This window comes from Homo sapiens, chromosome 3 (genome assembly GCF_000001405.40).
Source record: "Homo sapiens chromosome 3, GRCh38.p14 Primary Assembly".
Classification (NCBI taxonomy): domain Eukaryota; kingdom Metazoa; phylum Chordata; class Mammalia; order Primates; family Hominidae; genus Homo; species Homo sapiens.
This window is the reverse complement of record NC_000003.12, coordinates 120,386,175-120,405,448: the sequence shown is the minus strand read 5'-3', so window position 1 is coordinate 120,405,448 and position 19,274 is coordinate 120,386,175. Positions and strand designations below refer to the sequence as shown.

The 19,274-nt window shown below is 41.8% G+C and overlaps 1 protein-coding gene, 1 non-coding gene and 1 pseudogene across 4 annotated transcripts in view, besides 2 other annotated features; 2 read left to right on the top strand and 1 right to left on the bottom strand.

The window, feature by feature from the left end:
* Positions 1–13,156, top strand: part of FSTL1 (follistatin like 1) — a 58,700-nt gene extending 45,544 nt beyond the window's left edge. Inside the window, exons 7-11 of the mRNA NM_007085.5 lie at positions 478–596; positions 2,095–2,207; positions 2,531–2,641; positions 5,490–5,566; positions 8,453–13,156. Of these exons, the coding sequence (NP_009016.1) occupies positions 478–596; positions 2,095–2,207; positions 2,531–2,641; positions 5,490–5,566; positions 8,453–8,497 (465 nt within the window). The 3' untranslated portion in view covers positions 8,498–13,156. The remainder of the gene's footprint in view (positions 1–477; positions 597–2,094; positions 2,208–2,530; positions 2,642–5,489; positions 5,567–8,452) is intronic.
* The window catches only part of BTNL12P (butyrophilin like 12, pseudogene), a 73,965-nt pseudogene that overhangs the window by 17,930 nt on the left and 36,761 nt on the right, over positions 1–19,274 (bottom strand). The gene's annotated exons all lie outside the window — the stretch shown is intronic.
* Positions 5,690–5,739: an enhancer, noted in NCBI's record as "active region_20332". NCBI's record gives its function as "activates an Ori minimal core promoter by ATAC-STARR-seq in GM12878 lymphoblastoid cells {active_cell/tissue: GM12878}" and the evidence as "EXISTENCE:reporter gene assay evidence [ECO:0000049][PMID:35858748]".
* Positions 5,830–5,949: a silencer, noted in NCBI's record as "silent region_14636". NCBI's record gives its function as "represses an Ori minimal core promoter by ATAC-STARR-seq in GM12878 lymphoblastoid cells {active_cell/tissue: GM12878}" and the evidence as "EXISTENCE:reporter gene assay evidence [ECO:0000049][PMID:35858748]".
* On the top strand, positions 9,720–9,781 carry MIR198 (microRNA 198). The gene has a single exon (NR_029584.1). It is a non-coding gene; the product is annotated as a microRNA 198 (primary transcript).

The following is a 19,274-nucleotide window of genomic DNA, read 5'->3' as shown; positions in this document are numbered from 1 at the left end:
CAAAGTGAGCTCAGAGGGTCATCTGCATTGCTGCTGTTCCTGAGCAGCTCATTAGAAACATATTCTGGGACCTGCTACAGAGATTCTGATTCACAGCGTGCAACTTTAAACTCTTGTTACATGTTCATCAGGGCTTGAGAACATGATGTGCAGGTTGGTCTGAACCCAAAGGTATAGTCAAAAGTGTCTACAGGGCAGTGTCAGAGATGGGGCCACACAGCATGCTTAGGGACCCCAGAGGCCTCAGTTCAGGTTGCCTCCTCTGCCCAGGCACTTTTCCTCTCTCATTGTGGGCACAGGTACCTTCTCTGCATGTCCCAGGGATTAGAGCATTTGTTGCCAAGGCCCTCTGAGGTCAGGGCAGGGTTGGAATGTATCAAGAACAAGATGAATCAGAGGCAGGTCAGCTGAGTGGAGTAATGATGGAACAGGGGTTCTGCAAAACATCCCTGAACGATCTTGTCATGCCCTTTCTAGAACTTTGATAATGGTGATTCTCGCCTGGACTCCAGTGAATTCCTGAAGTTTGTGGAACAGAATGAAACTGCCATCAATATTACAACGTATCCAGACCAGGAGAACAACAAGTTGCTTAGGTGAGAGGAACCGAGAGGTCAGAGAATGATCCACAAGGGAAGACTAACTGAGAGAGGGGACTTAAACCCTTTCCCACCTGCAAAAGAGCCACCAGTGAGAGAATGTCACGTAAAAAGCAAAATGGGAATTCTGTCCTGTTCTATTCTATGAAAGTATGAATTAATATATTGAGTACCACTGATATCTAATCAAATAGTTATTGTTTTTGGTCAGAACTTGCAAGGACTAGAAGAATATAATTTTAAAATAAATTGCCAAGGGCACGTCAGAGCAAGTTATTTCTGAATGTTGTGGGTGATGTTTTACTGATTAATTTTCTGAAGGAATTACAGTAATGTATTATTTAACTATAGGTCTAAAATAGCTTTGTTCTGATTTTTAGATAATTAGTGCTATTTCATGTCAATTGCCCTAACTGTTACAGATATATGCCCGTCTACTTTTATGGCATTATTCCAGAATCAATATTAATAAAAACTAATCGCTAAGAAACTTTTGATGTGGTTTCAGCACATCGGTAAGAATTAAAAATAGGAAAAGCATGTCTTTTTTTCAAAAGAAGTGCATTGCACAGTTTCTAGAAGGATTCTTCTTTAATAATAGTCTATGACCTTAAAGTATAGGTTCTGTAAATCCTTCATATTTTGATAATCTGAAATTATATGTTTTATAATTTCAACGTTTGAGCCTCATGATATCCCAGTGAAGGAGGGCTTCTTGTCCTCCTTTTACGGATGGGAAGACAGGCTCAGAAAAGTTGAATAACTAACTCAAGTCCATTTGAGTAGTAAGTGATTGAGCCAGGGCTCAAATACAGCCCAAGAAAGAAGTGATGGAGCTGAGTTTTTTTTTGTTTGTTTTGTTTTTTGTTTTTTTTTGTTTTTGTTTTTGTTTTGTTTTGTTTTTGTTTTTTTTTTTTTTTTTTTTTTTTGAGACGGAGTCTCGCTCTGTCGCCCAGGCTGGAGTGCAGTGGCGGGATCTCGGCTCACTGCAAGCTGATGGAGCTGAGTTCTAAAAGCTTTTCTGAAAATCTCTTTCTAGAAGGATGATAATGGTGATTCTTGCTTGAACTTCATATTCTTTCAAATCCTATATTCCTTTCATGTCATCTGTCATATCTCTTCTGTTTTGATTTTCCTAGTTTGGTTGACTTGACGTGTATATACCATGGGGAAAAGCAATTGCTAGTGGAAGGTATGCAGGCAGTGAAAACATTAGACAAAACCATTCACGAAACTTTAGTCATCTTAAGGGGGGGAACATTTGGACAGCCTGGGTGATCTGACATTCATATAACAAACTAAAGGTTAGATGCCTGCATTGGTCAGGATGGATAATAGTTGTGTTGGGTCAGTGTAGAGAGAGGCTGTTTTAGTTAGCAGTCATCTTCTTGGCCTCCTGTGGAGGCCCTGGGTGTATGTGGTCCTGATGCTTACTTCCTTTCTTCTGAGCGAAGCTGAGGTCTTGCTAACACATTTCTCCTGTGTTTTGTTTCAGGGGACTCTGTGTTGATGCTCTCATTGAACTGTCTGATGAAAATGCTGATTGGAAACTCAGCTTCCAAGAGTTTCTCAAGTGCCTCAACCCATCTTTCAACCCTCCTGAGAAGAGTATGCCTAACCTAAGAAATAGAGAGCTGTAGTGAATGGAGGCATTTTGTAGGAGCCAAGATAGAGAGGATTGGTGGAACTCTCCAGAGCTAGCTGAGAAAATCCCCTTCCATGATTCTAAACTGGGCCCCAGCCCATTCTCCCCATGGTGAAGTTAGGGCCCCACATTCTTTAGGTTGATGGTAGTGTTTGCTCAGATATAGTGCTTCTGAGGGACAGGCAGGTCTTGTCTGGGAAAAAAGGGTAAGGTGCACAGACTGTAGCAAAGATGCCCTGTTCCACCCTCACAGCTAAACTGTTGCCCCGTATTTCTGGCCCAACAGAGTGTGCCCTGGAGGATGAAACGTATGCAGATGGAGCTGAGACCGAGGTGGACTGTAACCGCTGTGTCTGTGCCTGTGGAAATTGGGTCTGTACAGCCATGACCTGTGACGGTGAGCTGTGCTTCAAGCAGAAAGAAAAAACAGCAAGGAGAGAGCTTCATGAAATCAGCATGAGAGAAGTTGGGGTGGGGATGATGGAGAAGAGGGCGGTGGCTGGGAGCAAGGAACCCAGGCAGACCCACACCTGTAAGGTTGGAGCCCCAAGTGGGGAGCTTTGAGGGCAGAACATTTATCCCATAGGCATTCAGTTTGAAAATCACTCCAGAGGCTTGGAATAAGAGAGGACCAAGACCCTGGGCAAAAGTAAATGATAATGGAATAGTAACATTATGGAAATAGTAACAGTGAAAGTAGTAATAATGGAATAATAATTAAAAATAGTAATTATTTAATAATTAAAACATTAAAATAAAAACAATAATTATTATTTAATAATAATCAAAAATAATAATGGAATAGTAACAGTGAAAGCAAATACTCAGCAAAAACCATGTGCCAGGCTCTCTTCTAAGCACTTTACATATTAACCCATTGATCCTTATAACACCTTAGGAAATGGTAAAAGACTAGTGGTTGGAAGACAAAATGACTTCTCCTTGCCATACCCAGCAGAAAAAGAAAATATGTTTGTAGACCCTCTTTCAACTAACAGAGATGGGTAATCTTTTTTAAAAAGAGAAAGTTGAGCTAGTTGAGATATGTGCAGGGTGGTCTGGGGAGACAGAGAAATCTGAGAGTTTGTGGGGCAGTGTGAGGCTACAGGGTATGTTGGAACCACTGGAGTCCCATCTGGGTCCTGGGCTACAATGATGCCAAAGATCAAGAGGGACTCTTAAAGCCGAGCCCTAGCAAAGAACCAGGGATATTCAGAGTGGAGGCAAGACAGAGAAGGGTGTTGAAGCCAGGTCTGCAACGGAGAATTGCCTTAAGGTCATTTGGAACCAGGCCGAAAAGTTTCACCAGCTAGGGTGAACCTAAAGTTATATCAGCCAGGCGCAGTGGCTTATGCCTATAATCCCAACACTTGGGGAGGCCAAAGTGGGAAGCCCAGGAGTTCAAGACCAGCCTTGCCAACATAGCGAGACCATGTCCCTACAAAAATGTGAAAATTAGGCAGGCGTGATGGCACGTGCCTGTAGTCCCAGCTACTTGGGAGGCTGAAGTGGGAGGATCACCTGAGCCTGGGAGGTTGAGGCTGCCATGAGCCATAGTCACGCCACTGCATTCTAGCCTGGACAACAGAGCAAGACCTTGTCTTAAAAAAAAAAAAAAAGTTTATTTTAAGAAGTTAACTGTGTCAAGGAAGAGCTGGCTGGAACCTAAGATAATGTTCAGGAAGATCAGGTTAAATGGTAACTAGGAGACAGAGGTCAGAAACCCAGGATGAGGCTCTTCTAGACAAGGATCCTAGAGAACAGCAACAGTATAAATGGCCCAGTACTATCTAAGGTATCACTGGTCTACCGCTGCCCAGGACCAAGTCTGTTTTCAGTGTGGAACGACAGCAAACCAATGTAACTACAGGGACAGGTGAAGGAACAGGAAGAGGCTGTTTAGAGACTAGAAATTCCTACAAGTTCCTAGAAGTCAAGACCAAGCCAGGATCTCCAGACCAAACACAGAGTTGCTACTGAAACCAACAAAACACATCTCAAAACAGTCAGTGGCCTAGCCTGCCTCAACCATGAAGCATCCTATACTTGTCTTCCCTAAACTCCCTTCAGTACCTCTCCGCTTCTAACTGCTGCTGTTCTGGCTTTGTAAAGGTAGCCCTCCATTTCTAAGGTGCAGGCAGTTGGTATGCAGTTGGCTTATAGAATAAGCATGGTCATTTGGATAATAATCTCTATCACATGCATCAGACAAAATTCAAATGATCAGCTTCATGGGATGTTGCCCATTTCCACAGCCACTCAGCTATGGGCTGCTCATCCTCCCTGGATGACCAAGTCCAGAACTCTATGTGGGTATAACATGGAGCAACCCATGTTAGATGGTGGTGCCCCAGGGGCCTGAGCACGTATGGATGTGTAGGCCGTGGATCTAAGAGGAGTTTGTGGAGCCAGCATTCTGGGGCATTTTCAGGTTAATACCTGAGAGTTAGCAGTCTGATCTTAGATCACAAATCAAAATGGGACAAGCAAGAAGGGGCATCAAAATTTGAAGCCAGGAGGAGGCAGAGCCAAGGGAAACTGCTGTGAAGGGAAGGTTGATAGCAATGTTTGGAAGATATGTCCTAGAAGTGTTTCCTAATGGTCAGCATTCTACTTGATAAGCCTAGAGATTTCATCCTAAACCTAGTAAATCAGAATTTGCAAAAGAGCAGCTTGGGAACCTGTGTAGTTTTTGTTTTTGTTTATCACTGTGCAAGTTTCAGAAACATTGCTAGATGAAATGGTTGTCAACCCTGGCTGCACATTAGAACCAACTAGAAAGACTTGTAAAAAAATACTGGTGTCCAGATCTCACCTCACATCAATTAAATCAGAATCTCTGAAGGTGGAACTAGACAGCTATCTTTTCAAATGTTCTCCAGGACATTTTGATGGTATATGAATGACTTGAGAGTCATTGTCTCAGAGAAATCTCCAGTGTCAGGATCCAAGTTTTCACCATAACTTTTTTTGTAGGGCCAGCTTCTGGCTGGGATGTGCTAAGCAGTTAAAGGAACAAAGGCCAGAGAGGAGTTGGGGTAGATTGCTTTGTTACAATGTGTTACCTTGGAGGTATCAATTACACAGGGCCCCTTCATGCCTTCATACTCAGAAAATGTGGGTAATTCACCTCTCCTTCCACAAGTTAAATGGGAGATGAATTGAGAGCCTCTAGGTAGATCTTGGCGGATTCCTCACTGGCTTACCACAGCTGCTACTGCTCTGAGCTTTGGTTCTTCTTGCAGGAAAGAATCAGAAGGGGGCCCAGACCCAGACAGAGGAGGAGATGACCAGATATGTCCAGGAGCTCCAAAAGCATCAGGTGAGTGGCAGCCTCCGTGCTGGTTCAGGTGTTGCTGTTGCCATCAGGCCCTATACCATTCAAACACTGCCCAGTGCCCCAGGAGACCAAGGAGGCTCTCTCTGCTCAATACAGTACATCTTGAGTGATACCCCATCACCTGTACTATCAAACTGTGATACAGACAGTTCCCTGATAAAGTCCTCACAGGGCCCAGTAGGTCTCAACACATATAGGTTACAGCTCGGTGAGTGGCTGCATAAGGCAAAATCAGGCAGGTGGTGATTTGCAAATGAGGTGGAAGTGGTTTGCAAATGAGCGTGGTTTAAGGAAGTGTGTATCCTGTCATGACCAGTGTCCAGACCCAAAGACTGTGAGCTCCTGAAAGCAGGCTCTGTAACTTGCTCATCATTGTACCCTTGCAGTCTCACAGGGCCTGGTATGTAGTCAGCACTCAGTGAGCATGAAAGCAGTGGATTTGGGCCACAGCAGAAAGGATTTAAGTTCAACATCAGTCTGGCTAGAAAATAGCCTGGGGTTAACAAAGAGTCTCCTTCCCAGAGACTCAAGAAGATAATAAGAATTTTGTTCAGGTTCTATGTCATTAAGTTAAAGGCTTCCTTGGGGAAAGGGTTCTTAGCAGAATAGTGATGCTCTGACATATTGTGGAACTGTTGAACTCCTGGCCCATCCTCCTACTGGCTTATTATGTAGTCTTAATACAGGATATTGCACCTTCCATTACCTGTCCGTAGACCGAATGTAGTAGTATTAGCCTTCTCTCTGACATAGAAGTTTTTAAGGAATATAATGGTCACAAGAACTGCTAAACTATTGATATGAAATATTTGACATGAGTAAACAGAACTATTACTATTAATAGTAATTGCCCATTTATTGATCATTCTTAATGTGCATTTTGTCATCATTGTCACTGATAGTATAGAAATCTCATGTCGGTTGTTTAAGCAGAAGCAAAAGCTTCTAGTCTTTTGCTTTTCAAATTTCACCAGTCTTGAGTCTCCAAATGAGTTCAATCCCATGAAAGAGAAAAAAACTTCATAGGAATTACTTTCGTCTAGAATATCAGACAGTACAGTTATCAGACAGTACAGAGTGAATTATAGTAGCTAATATGTTTAAGTTTCTGTGTTTGATGTGAGTCCCCTCAGAGCAGATGCTGAGGCAAGGATGCAAGTACACATAGTTTATTTGGGAAGCAATGCCAGGAAACACCAGAGGGAGATTTGGGAAATGAGTCCAGAAAGAGAAGGAAGTAATGAAGAGTGTGTATTCAGGCATGTTACCACTGTTAACAAGTGACTCTTAATCCTATTGGGGATCTCTGGGAATGGAATAACAGTGCCTGAGTGGGGATGAAGCTGGGCTGTTTCTACAAGAACTCCCATTAGCCATTGGCTGAGGGCTGCTACTGGGAAATGTTAATTCCCTGGCATTTGTGGCCTATCAGTGTGTGTGGACAGAGTGGGCTCCAGCAGCCAGAGAAAGGCCTCAGGCAGAGATGCAGGTGCTGGCAGTAGGTAGGAAGTCATGCCAGTGTACACCAAGACATTAAACACAAAGGGGCGATGGATGGAACACCAGTGTCTGCTAGATATCAGGCAATGTTGTCAGGTTTTAAAAATTTATTTCTTTAATTGAGATATGATTCATATACCATAAAATTCACCCCTTTAAAGTGTATATTCCTAAGATTGTCAATCATCTCACTACTATCTTAATTCCAGAACATTTTCATTATCCCAGAAAGAAATCCCATACCCATTAGAAGTAACCCTCCATTCTCATCTTCCTCCAGCCCTTTGCAGCCACTAATCTACTTTCTAACTATAAATTTGCCTGTTCTGGACATATTACAGTGGTATCATACAACAGTATAGCCTTTTCTGTCTTTGACTTAGCATAATGTTTTCAAGGTTCATTCTTACAGCATGAATCAGTACTTCTTTCCTATTTATGGCTGAGTAATATTCCATGATACGAATATACCACATGTTGTGTTATCCATTCATCATTTAATGGATATTTAGGTTGTTTCAATTTGGGGGCTCTGATAAATAAAGCTGTTAGGAACATTTTCGCACAAGTTTTTGTGTGGACACATGTTGTCAGCTCTCTTGGGTATTTACCTAGAAGTGGAATTGCTGGGTCATACGGTGACTCCATGTTTAACCTTTGGAGAAATGGCCAAACTGGTTTCCAAAGCTACTGCACCACTGTACATCTTCACCATAGAGTTCCAATTTCTTCACATACTCACCAACGGTTTTGTTATTGCTATTTTTTATTTTAGCTGTCCTAGCGGGTGTCAAGTGGTTTTGATTTGCATTTCCCGTGTGATTAATGATGTTGAGCATCTTCTTATGTCCTTATTGGCCATTTTGTGCCAGGCACTGTTGTAAGAGATGGTACTTTATTACTGTGGTTTTGCAGTTGAAGACATTGAGACACAGAAGATTTCATAATATGCCCAAGGTCACCCAAAAAGTAGCACAGCCATGGTTGAAGCTCAGGCAGTCTGCCTCCAGAACCTGTTGTACTTAACACTTCTTTGGACTTGTTGGATTAAGAACATCTTGTAGCATTTCCATTTAACATCATTTTCTTCATCCTTAAAATGGGAACCATAATGTCTGATCTGCTTGTTTCATAGGAGTCCAAATGGAGTCAGCTTAATTCAGTAAACAGCCCCTGCATGACCATGTCATGAATAGGCCATAGTTCTTGTTCTCAAATTGTTCATTGTCCGTGGAGGAGCCCGACAAGTAAACAACTAAAATTCAGCATAAGCTTGTAAATGCCAATGCTATATAGTCTTGAGGAACAGATAAATTCCAACAGTTGTTTAATATTTCCATGACGCCTATTTTCTCTTGCATCTCAAAGGAAACAGCTGAAAAGACCAAGAGAGTGAGCACCAAAGAGATCTAATGAGGAGGCACAGACCAGTGTCTGGATCCCAGCATCTTCTCCACTTCAGCGCTGAGTTCAGTATACACAAGTGTCTGCTACAGTCGCCAAATCACCAGTATTTGCTTATATAGCAATGAGTTTTATTTTGTTTATTTGTTTTGCAATAAAGGATATGAAGGTGGCTGGCTAGGAAGGGAAGGGCCACAGCCTTCATTTCTAGGAGTGCTTTAAGAGAAACTGTAAATGGTGCTCTGGGGCTGGAGGCTAGTAAGGAAACTGCATCACGATTGAAAGAGGAACAGACCCAAATCTGAACCTCTTTTGAGTTTACTGCATCTGTCAGCAGGCTGCAGGGAGTGCACACGATGCCAGAGAGAACTTAGCAGGGTGTCCCCGGAGGAGAGGTTTGGGAAGCTCCACGGAGAGGAACGCTCTCTGCTTCCAGCCTCTTTCCATTGCCGTCAGCATGACAGACCTCCAGCATCCACGCATCTCTTGGTCCCAATAACTGCCTCTAGATACATAGCCATACTGCTAGTTAACCCAGTGTCCCTCAGACTTGGATGGAGTTTCTGGGAGGGTACACCCAAATGATGCAGATACTTGTATACTTTGAGCCCCTTAGCGACCTAACCAAATTTTAAAAATACTTTTTACCAAAGGTGCTATTTCTCTGTAAAACACTTTTTTTTGGCAAGTTGACTTTATTCTTCAATTATTATCATTATATTATTGTTTTTTAATATTTTATTTTCTTGACTAGGTATTAAGCTTTTGTAATTATTTTTCAGTAGTCCCACCACTTCATAGGTGGAAGGAGTTTGGGGTTCTTCCTGGTGCAGGGGCTGAAATAACCCAGATGCCCCCACCCTGCCACATACTAGATGCAGCCCATAGTTGGCCCCCCTAGCTTCCAGCAGTCCACTATCTGCCAGAGGAGCAAGGGTGCCTTAGACCGAAGCCAGGGGAAGAAGCATCTTCATAAAAAACTTTCAAGATCCAAACATTAATTTGTTTTTATTTATTCTGAGAAGTTGAGGCAAATCAGTATTCCCAAGGATGGCGACAAGGGCAGCCAAGCAGGGCTTAGGATATCCCAGCCTACCAATATGCTCATTCGACTAACTAGGAGGGTGAGTTGGCCCTGTCTCTTCTTTTTTCTGGACCTCAGTTTCCTCAGTGAGCTGGTAAGAATGCACTAACCTTTTGATTTGATAAGTTATAAATTCTGTGGTTCTGATCATTGGTCCAGAGGGGAGATAGGTTCCTGTGATTTTTCCTTCTTCTCTATAGAATAAATGAAATCTTGTTACTAGAACAAGAAATGTCAGATGGCCAAAAACAAGATGACCAGATTTGATCTCAGCCTGATGACCCTACAGGTCGTGCTATGATATGGAGTCCTCATGGGTAAAGCAGGAAGAGAGTGGGAAAGAGAACCACCCCACTCTGTCTTCATATTTGCATTTCATGTTTAACCTCCGGCTGGAAATAGAAAGCATTCCCTTAGAGATGAGGATAAAAGAAAGTTTCAGATTCAACAGGGGGAAGAAAATGGAGATTTAATCCTAAAACTGTGACTTGGGGAGGTCAGTCATTTACAGTTAGTCCTGTGTCTTTCGACTTCTGTGATTATTAACCCCACTCACTACCCTGTTTCAGATGCATTTGGAATACCAAAGATTAAATCCTTGACATAAGATCTCATTTGCAGAAAGCAGATTAAAGACCATCAGAAGGAAATTATTTAGGTTGTAATGCACAGGCAACTGTGAGAAACTGTTGTGCCAAAAATAGAATTCCTTCTAGTTTTTCTTGTTCTCATTTGAAAGGAGAAAATTCCACTTTGTTTAGCATTTCAAGCTTTTATGTATCCATCCCATCTAAAAACTCTTCAAACTCCACTTGTTCAGTCTGAAATGCAGCTCCCTGTCCAAGTGCCTTGGAGAACTCACAGCAGCACGCCTTAATCAAAGGTTTTACCAGCCCTTGGACACTATGGGAGGAGGGCAAGAGTACACCAATTTGTTAAAAGCAAGAAACCACAGTGTCTCTTCACTAGTCATTTAGAACATGGTTATCATCCAAGACTACTCTACCCTGCAACATTGAACTCCCAAGAGCAAATCCACATTCCTCTTGAGTTCTGCAGCTTCTGTGTAAATAGGGCAGCTGTCGTCTATGCCGTAGAATCACATGATCTGAGGACCATTCATGGAAGCTGCTAAATAGCCTAGTCTGGGGAGTCTTCCATAAAGTTTTGCATGGAGCAAACAAACAGGATTAAACTAGGTTTGGTTCCTTCAGCCCTCTAAAAGCATAGGGCTTAGCCTGCAGGCTTCCTTGGGCTTTCTCTGTGTGTGTAGTTTTGTAAACACTATAGCATCTGTTAAGATCCAGTGTCCATGGAAACATTCCCACATGCCGTGACTCTGGACTATATCAGTTTTTGGAAAGCAGGGTTCCTCTGCCTGCTAACAAGCCCACGTGGACCAGTCTGAATGTCTTTCCTTTACACCTATGTTTTTAAGTAGTCAAACTTCAAGAAACAATCTAAACAAGTTTCTGTTGCATATGTGTTTGTGAACTTGTATTTGTATTTAGTAGGCTTCTATATTGCATTTAACTTGTTTTTGTAACTCCTGATTCTTCCTTTTCGGATACTATTGATGAATAAAGAAATTAAAGTGATGGTTTTATTGGTTTCCTTTCCCCCAATTAAGGCCAAATAAAGTCGTGAGAACATTACCCATTTACTTCCTAAGAGTGGATTTGAGTTTCAGGAGCCTTAAAAAGGACTGAAGAGTTTCTCCTGGGACTACAGCTTGGATGGAAAGTTTACTCGGGGACTGGTAGAACAAGTTTCTTTGAAAGGATCATGGATAGTGGGTCTGGAGTAGAAGGTGATGACAAGTCAGAAAGTGTCTTAGTCCCTTCAAGTTGCTATAACAAAATGCCTCAGACTGGGTAATTATAGGCAACAGAAATGTATTGCTCACAGTTCTGAAGGCTGGGAAGCCTAAGATCAAGGTACCAGCAGATTCAGTGTCTGATGACGGCTTGTTGAAGCTTGCCTGCTTCAAAGAATGCACCTTTTTGATGCATCCCCACATGGTGAAAAGGGTGAACAAACTCCCTTAGGCCTCTTTTATAAGGGCACTTACCCATTCATGAGGGTTAAACTTTGATGACCTAATCATCTCCCAAGAGCCTCACCTCTCAATACCATTGCTTTGGGGATTCAATTTTAACATATGAATTTTGGGGGACATAAACATTCAAACCATAGCAGGTGCATTCCTGTATTGGGAAGACATTAAATTAAATGACTCGTAAATCCCCCATATGATTTAGGAGACTAAATGGCATCCAGTGAGGCTGACTGCAGTAGCCTGTGAGAAGGCAAATAAACATGGGAAGGTAGTACAGGGAACATGGAATCATTGCCAGGGACAGGCTAAATAACCTTAATGGCACTTCCTTGATACACACATTCCATGGGGGTAAACAGTTCCAAGTGGGCTGAACGTTAGCTGGTTAAAACCTCTTTTGCTTGGGGACACATGACTAACGCTTTCCAACCTGCCATTTTCATATGTATCATGCACTCTCCACCCACAATAATTCTGCCTCCCAAAAGAGCATATTATAGTCAATGAGGTTTAAGGTTTCTTCGGTTCAGTCATGTGGAAGTTTTGCTTTCCTAAAATTATAGCTGGATCACTTTGATTGGATTTGGGATATTACCCAAATGCTAATCAAATATTAAAAGGCAATCTTTTTTGTTATGTGATTGCTACAGATTACTGCTCTTACAGTTTGATTCTTCAAATTTTCATTCTCAGAAGGGAATCTTAAACCCAGTTTGAAGGGTACCTTGTCCACAACCACTTTTAAATTTTGGCTAACTTCCCAACCTTCCACCATGTTCTGGGAAAACTTTTTCTGCTGTTATAGTATGTATGTATTCAGGAAGTGCAACATTATTAAACTAAGCATAATTCAGAAGCTAAGTTTCCTTTCATCAAAATTTAATATTACGAATTGTGCAAAGAAGTATGTTACTTTGATCAGCTTTATTTTAGAGCTTCTTTATCAAGTTATCATCAGTCCTCTTGAATTATTTCTGAAATAAGGGGAAGGAAGGAAGGGAAAAAATATGAATGCATAGATAGATCTAAGCAGATGCCTTCAGAGCCCTGGAATAATCCTAGCTGGGATATGGGACATGAAAACAACTCTGGCCTACTGCTGCTGGGGGCTGTTGCATGGTGTGACATAGGAAGTAAAATGTTGCTGTATGAATAGGAAGGAGGGTCTTCCTGTCAATGAGAATTAATGTTTTCCTAATGATTTAACTTTTTTACTGAAAAAATAATATGTGTACATGGTAAAAATCCAAATTGTATCACAGAAAATACAGTGAATAAAACCATCCTCTTAAGAGGGTGTGTACATTTATAAATTTGCCTATGATTGCCTATAAAGTCAAAGAAGTTGCACCAGTATGCATGACTGCCAAAAGTACATAAACTGAGCATATCCATTTCCCTACATTCTTGCAAACATTGTGCCTTCGAACTTTTTGGCCTCTGATAGAGGAAAAATGGTAACTCCTTGTTTTATTTTTTATATTCATTATTCCTTTTGTAAGATTAAATATCATCTCATGAATAATTGGTTCTTGTCATTTTCTTCATTTTCTTTGTTTTTCTAATGGTTGCTGGTCTTTTTCTTACTGGTTTGTCATAGTTCTCCATAAGTATATCGTTAGCCCTTTGTTGTGAATGTGGCAAATACTTTCTCAGTTTGTTTTTCTTCTTTTGACTTTATGAGATGCTTTGCCTTGTAGAAAACTCGACTCTTTATATAACCCGATTTATACATCTTTTCCTTTCTGTCTTTAAGACAAAAGAACTTTAAAATCTGTGTCATTGTTGAAACTTAAGGACAGAAAACGGCCAGAGTAGAACTCTGATGCCCTCAAAAAGCATTCAGAAATGTCCACTTGGGGAGGACAGAACATGGCATAATGTAGTCATTGCCAGAGTCATGGAATATATAAGCTAAATCTAAGGTTGTAATTAAGGGAATAAGAACAATATAGTAGGGGATCCAAACTGTACCTCAACTATCCTTTGATCCATTCTACTCTATGATTGTTTAAGGGTGATTTTCAACTCTTTTGTAAGGAAAAAGTAGAGATGGAGATCAATATCATTTATTGTTCATTTACCAAATATTTGTTGTGTCTATTACTACGTTACAGACATTTTCTAAGTGTTTGTTCTAAGTGCTCGGACTTACCTGTGACCAGTGAAAAGACATAATGATCTCTGGCTTTGTGGAGCTTAAATTCTAGCAGGGAGAGCTAGATAATAGATGCAATAAATAAGTAAAGCTTATGGTATGTTAGAAGGTGATAAGGACTATGTATAGCAAGAGGAGGGGGACTAGGAGAGTGTAGGGTAAGGGAGTGTCTCAGTTTGTCTCAGTTTCCCATTTTAAATATAGTGGTCAGGATAGGCCTCATTGAGAAAGTGAAAAAGACTAAGCCAAGGGAATTCGATGTGTGATGTCTGAACAAGAGCATTCTAGACAAAAGAGAGAGCCAGTGCAAGAGTGTCAGCTTGGCAGGGCTGAAGTGAATGAGGGAGAGAGTAGCAGAATACGAGGCAAAGAAGTGACAAGGCAGGGTAAGGGACTGAGGGGTGAGGAAGGTATATCTTGTGGTCCTAATAGGCCATGTAAGGAATCTGGCTTTTACTCAGTGAGATAGGAAGCTTTATAAATTGTTATTTGAAAATAAGTAGGATAAACTACAGGTGATCTTGTTTCTGCATGTGTGCCCAATTATTCTCAAAAACTCATTTGATTAGGAGTTTGAGACCAGCCTGGCCAACATGGTGAAACCCCATTTCTACTAAAAATAAAAAAAATTAGCTGGGCGTGGTGGCACACACCCGTAATCCCAGCCACTTGGGAGGCCGAGGCAGGAGAATTGCTTGAGCAATCAGCAGTGAGCTGAGATCACACCACTGCACTCCAGCCTGGACAACAGAGCGAGACTCCGTCTCAAAACAAACAAACAAACACCTCATTTGATACCTTTATGAAAACCTGAATTATGCCATCACTTATGCATTGGTGTATATAGCTACCCATCAAGTAGGTCCTTTCAAGATTCTGGTAGAGAATGAGCAAAACCAGGAGTTGTTTACTATAATCCATGTTATAGAAGAGCTTTAGATGTGTAAACACCATTTGAATCTGTGAAAAAGAAATAATGAGTATGTACTCTATGAATAGGTGAGACCTAGGAAGTACAAACAGATGATGTGAACAAGTAGAATTGAACAAACTTTTACTGGGTATTATGTGTCAGGCACTGGGAAGGCACTCAGATTGGATATATAATCAGACTCAGTCTCCTGTCTCAGGAAGACAGGCAGGTCAGCAGTCTGTTTGATATCTTGCAACCATATTATGACAAAGATGAGAAACGAGTACACATTATGGAAACAAGAAGATCAATAGTGTGGCGTCAGCAATCGTGGAAGGTTTTTCTAGGCTGAAATCTGAACAAGTAGAATTAGCCTAGTCAAAGTCCATTCAAGAGTGGCATATGCAGAGATTCAGGGATGTGGTAGAGTCAATAAAAGCTTTAGATTCAGACCTGGGTCTGAATCCCAATCTGTTATTGACATGCAACCTTAGGCAAATCAGATTCTCTATGCTTAAATTTCTTCTTCTGTAAAATGGAAATAGTAATTTGTATTTCATAGCATTGTTATAAGGATTAAATAACATAAAATATGCAAAAAGTTAGAAAGTGCCTGACATGCTTTGTTATTATTTTCTACAGAATGAAGGTATAACACTACTTCATAACGTTGCTGTGCTGATTAAATGAAATAAACATGTAAAGGCCCTGGCATATAGTGACTGCTCAATAAAACACAGCTGTTGTTGGCCTTGTAACATGTTGATTATATTTATAAATGCTATTTGTAAAGACTGTATCCTGAGAACAAGAGAGAGCTAATGAAGTTATAATGGCAGGAGAAAGGCATGATCAGATTCAGTTTAAGAAAGAACCCAGACCATGCGTGGTGGCTCACGCCTGTAATCCCAGCACTTTGGGAGGCTGAGGCGGGTGGATCATGAGCTCAGGAGATCGAGACCATCCTGGCTAACACAATGAAACTGCATCTCTACTAAAAATACAAAAAATTAGCTGGGCATGGCGGCACACACCTGTAGTCCCAGCTACTCGAGCCCCAGTTAGTCAATAGCCAGCTGTTATCAATGCTACCTCCTTTCCCTGTTAATCCCCACTGCCATTGTTCTAGTTCAAATCACCATTATTTCTTGCCTCATCCCTGAAATAGCCTCCTAACTTATCTACTACTGCTAGGTCATTCTCCTTCCCATCTATGCTGCATCTGAGGGAAAGGGTTCTTTCTTTCTTTTTTTTTTTTTTGGAGATGGAGTCTCGCCCTGTTGCCCAGGCTGGAGTGCAGTGGTGCAATCTTGGCTTACTGCAACCTCTGCCTCCCGAGTTCAAGCGATTCTCCTGCCTCAGCCTCCCGAGTAGCTGGGGCTCGTGGTGCCTGCACAGGCCCAGATGGGCACTGATTTTGTTGGGGTGGCTGCCAGGCTGCTTCCTGGTGACTCTCTGAACCAGGCCAGAGGTGGTCATGCTGGAGGCCTGAGGGGAATCCAAGTGCTCTGGGGACTCCAACACCATGGCATGAACAGGACAGTGGACTTCCCGAAAAAGCAGCTCACCCACCAGTGACCTGCTGTCACAAGGACATAACTCATGCTTTCTTGAGGATTTTATGGTGCAGAAAATGACAAGAATCAATGACTCAAGTTAAATGTTTGAATCACACGGTTTATTGATTGTATGTAATAATGGTCATTTCTCTACACATGTAAAAACACACTCAAAAGAGATCATCAAGGGGCAGCCTTACCAAGGCAATTAAAACCTTTCAGTCGGCCGGGGATGGTGGTTCACACCTGTAATCCCAGCACTTTGGGAGGTCAAGGTGGGTGCATCACGAGGTCAGGAGTTCGAGACCAGCCTGACCATTATGGTGAAACCCCATCTCTACTAAAAATACAAAAATTAGCCGAGCATGGTGGCACATGCCTGTAATCCCAGCTACTCAGGAGGCTGAGGCAGGAGAATTGCTTGAACCCGGGAGGCGGAGGTTGCAGTTAGCTGAGATCGCTCCACTGCACTCCAGCCTGAGTGACAGAGTGAGACTCCGTCTCAAAAACACAAAACAAAAACAAAAAAAACCTTTCAGTTTGCATTCTATTCATAGTCCAGGCATAGTCTCTTGTCTGCCTGTGGTGGTCTTGTCCAATGTGAGAGTGAATGGGCATATGGGCACAATGCAGCAAGGGGCTCGGAGACTGACTGGGGGGATACGTCGCGCCTAAGTGGTCAATGAAGTCGTTCTTTTCTGTGTTCCATCCCAGTGTAGTGGTGAACACCTTTGTCTGATTGGTCATGCCCTGGTGAACTCCATTGTTGTTTTGGTCCACTTGTTTACCATATTTTGTAGCATCCATTAAAGTTGTTTACCAAAGTCCAAATATGTTTGGCAAAGTCCACATAAACATGTTTTTCTATTTTATCTTGTTTTACATGTCCTGACTCTTTGACTCTTTGGTCAATACGTTCACAACTTAAACTTTTTTTCAACAATGTCTTGTCCTATGGTCAAAACATGTTTACAGCTTTATTTTACCTTACACTCCTATCACCTGGATCAGCCTTCCAGAGACCAGGGGGTGGGGGATGGCTTCTCTAGGGTACTCAGCAAGGCCCATCATCAGGTGCTGCTGCTGCGAGTGGAACCCTGGAGGCGCCGGTAGTAGTCATGGGTGGCCACGGGCAAACCACGGAGGGGATGGCTGCCAGGCTCTTGCTTGCCAGTGGGTAGGAACCTCAACGTGACCCTCCTAGGCCTTGGTGCAACCTCGAGTGGTGGGAAGGGGGGTGCTAGGCCACAGAGGCCATTTGCATTGGACACCAGGGAAGCAGCTCCAGGATCAAGATGCACGCACGTGGGGTCTCCTGGCCTAGCTTTAAATTACACAAGTTAGCGGAATTTGACATTTTCCAGGGAGCTGGGACAACTCGAAGTAAAATAAGTTTGCTCCAAAATTCTTCTGCAGGACTTCATAGTCAAATCTGGCAGCCAGTAATTTTTATATCATCACATATTACATGTTTTAACTCCTTCCTAATTGACCTATATCAGAACGTGGTTCTTATTATGGCTGATATTCCACTGAGACAATACAATGTAGTGTTTAACAGCCAGGTTTCCTGGGTTTAAATCCTGGCTCTGCTCCTACGTTTTATGCTTCTGGAAGTTATTTAACCTCTCTGTGCCTCAGTTTTCTCTTTAAGGTAGCTTAATAATAATACCTACCTCATTCTTTTTTTTTCCTTTGAGGATTAAATGAGTTAATGTAATTTTTTTTTTTTTTTTTGAGACAGGGCACTCTTTTGCCCAGGCTGGAGTGCATTGGCACGATCACAGCTCACTGCAGCCTCGACCTCCCCAGACTCGCATCTCAGCTGGGACTATAGGTGCCCACCATCACGCCTGGCTGATGTTTGTACCTTTTTTAGAGATGGAGTTTTGCCATGTTGCCCATGCTGTGTAACTTTTTTTTCAAATAGTTTCTGGCACATAGAAAGTGTTATGTAGGTGTCAGGTATCATTATTACCAGTTATCAATACCTATAACATATTCTCATAATTCTCAGACTGACCCTGTGAAAAATATATTTTACAAATGAGGAACATGTAGTTTAAGTTTCAGGAACTTGTTCAACACTAACACAGCTAACAGGGAACACATTCAGGATTCAGACCCAGGTCCCTGTCATGCTCATTTTGCCTTGCCACAATGTTTCCCTTTATTTTAAAGATCATCACATCATTGTGAACCATTAATTCCTAATTTGTGTTTTCTATAATGTAATTGCTGAGCACATATAACTAACCATATATTCCTTCATGTGGTTCTAATAACTGTCTGCATGTCCTTTCATTTTGGTTTCTTTTAAGTACATATGTGAATGCAGTTCAACCCATGCCTCTGAAGTTTCCTAAAAAGTGATCCCCAGTCCAAGCTGGTCTCCCAAAGGATGCTATATCCAGGAGTCATGCCAGCGAGTGTGAGTATCCCAGCAGCCCTCAGCACATACCTCAAAGGTTTGGCCTGGCAAAAACTTACCTTAGAAATGCAGATGTCTGTACAATTGCACAAATCTCCCTGATGATCCTCCTTTTTGCTGTGACATACTATGTGGAGGACTTAGAGGCAGACATAGGTCTTATCCCCATTGAAATTATTTAATATTAATCTGATCATTCAAAAAAATTGGGTTTTGAGCCCATTAAAATCTCTAGTTCCTGGACAGTTTTCTTTTCTCTTTCCTTAATGTTCCACAACTTTTTCTCTTTTCTCTTTCCTTACTGTTCCACATCTTTTTCTCTTCACTTCTATAACCTAAGCTTGATTCCTTCATGGCCCAACCTCCCAGGGAAGATACTGCCATCCTTCTCCTGAACCCCCCAAAAAAACAAAGGAAGATGTCTTAGTCTATTCTGGCTTCTATAACAAAATACCTTAGACTGCATGGCTTATATATAACAGAAATTTATTGCTTACAGTTTTGGAAATTGAGAAGTCCAACATCAAGGTGCTAATAGATTTTGTGTCTGGTGAGGACCTCTTTCTGGTTCATAGACGGCAT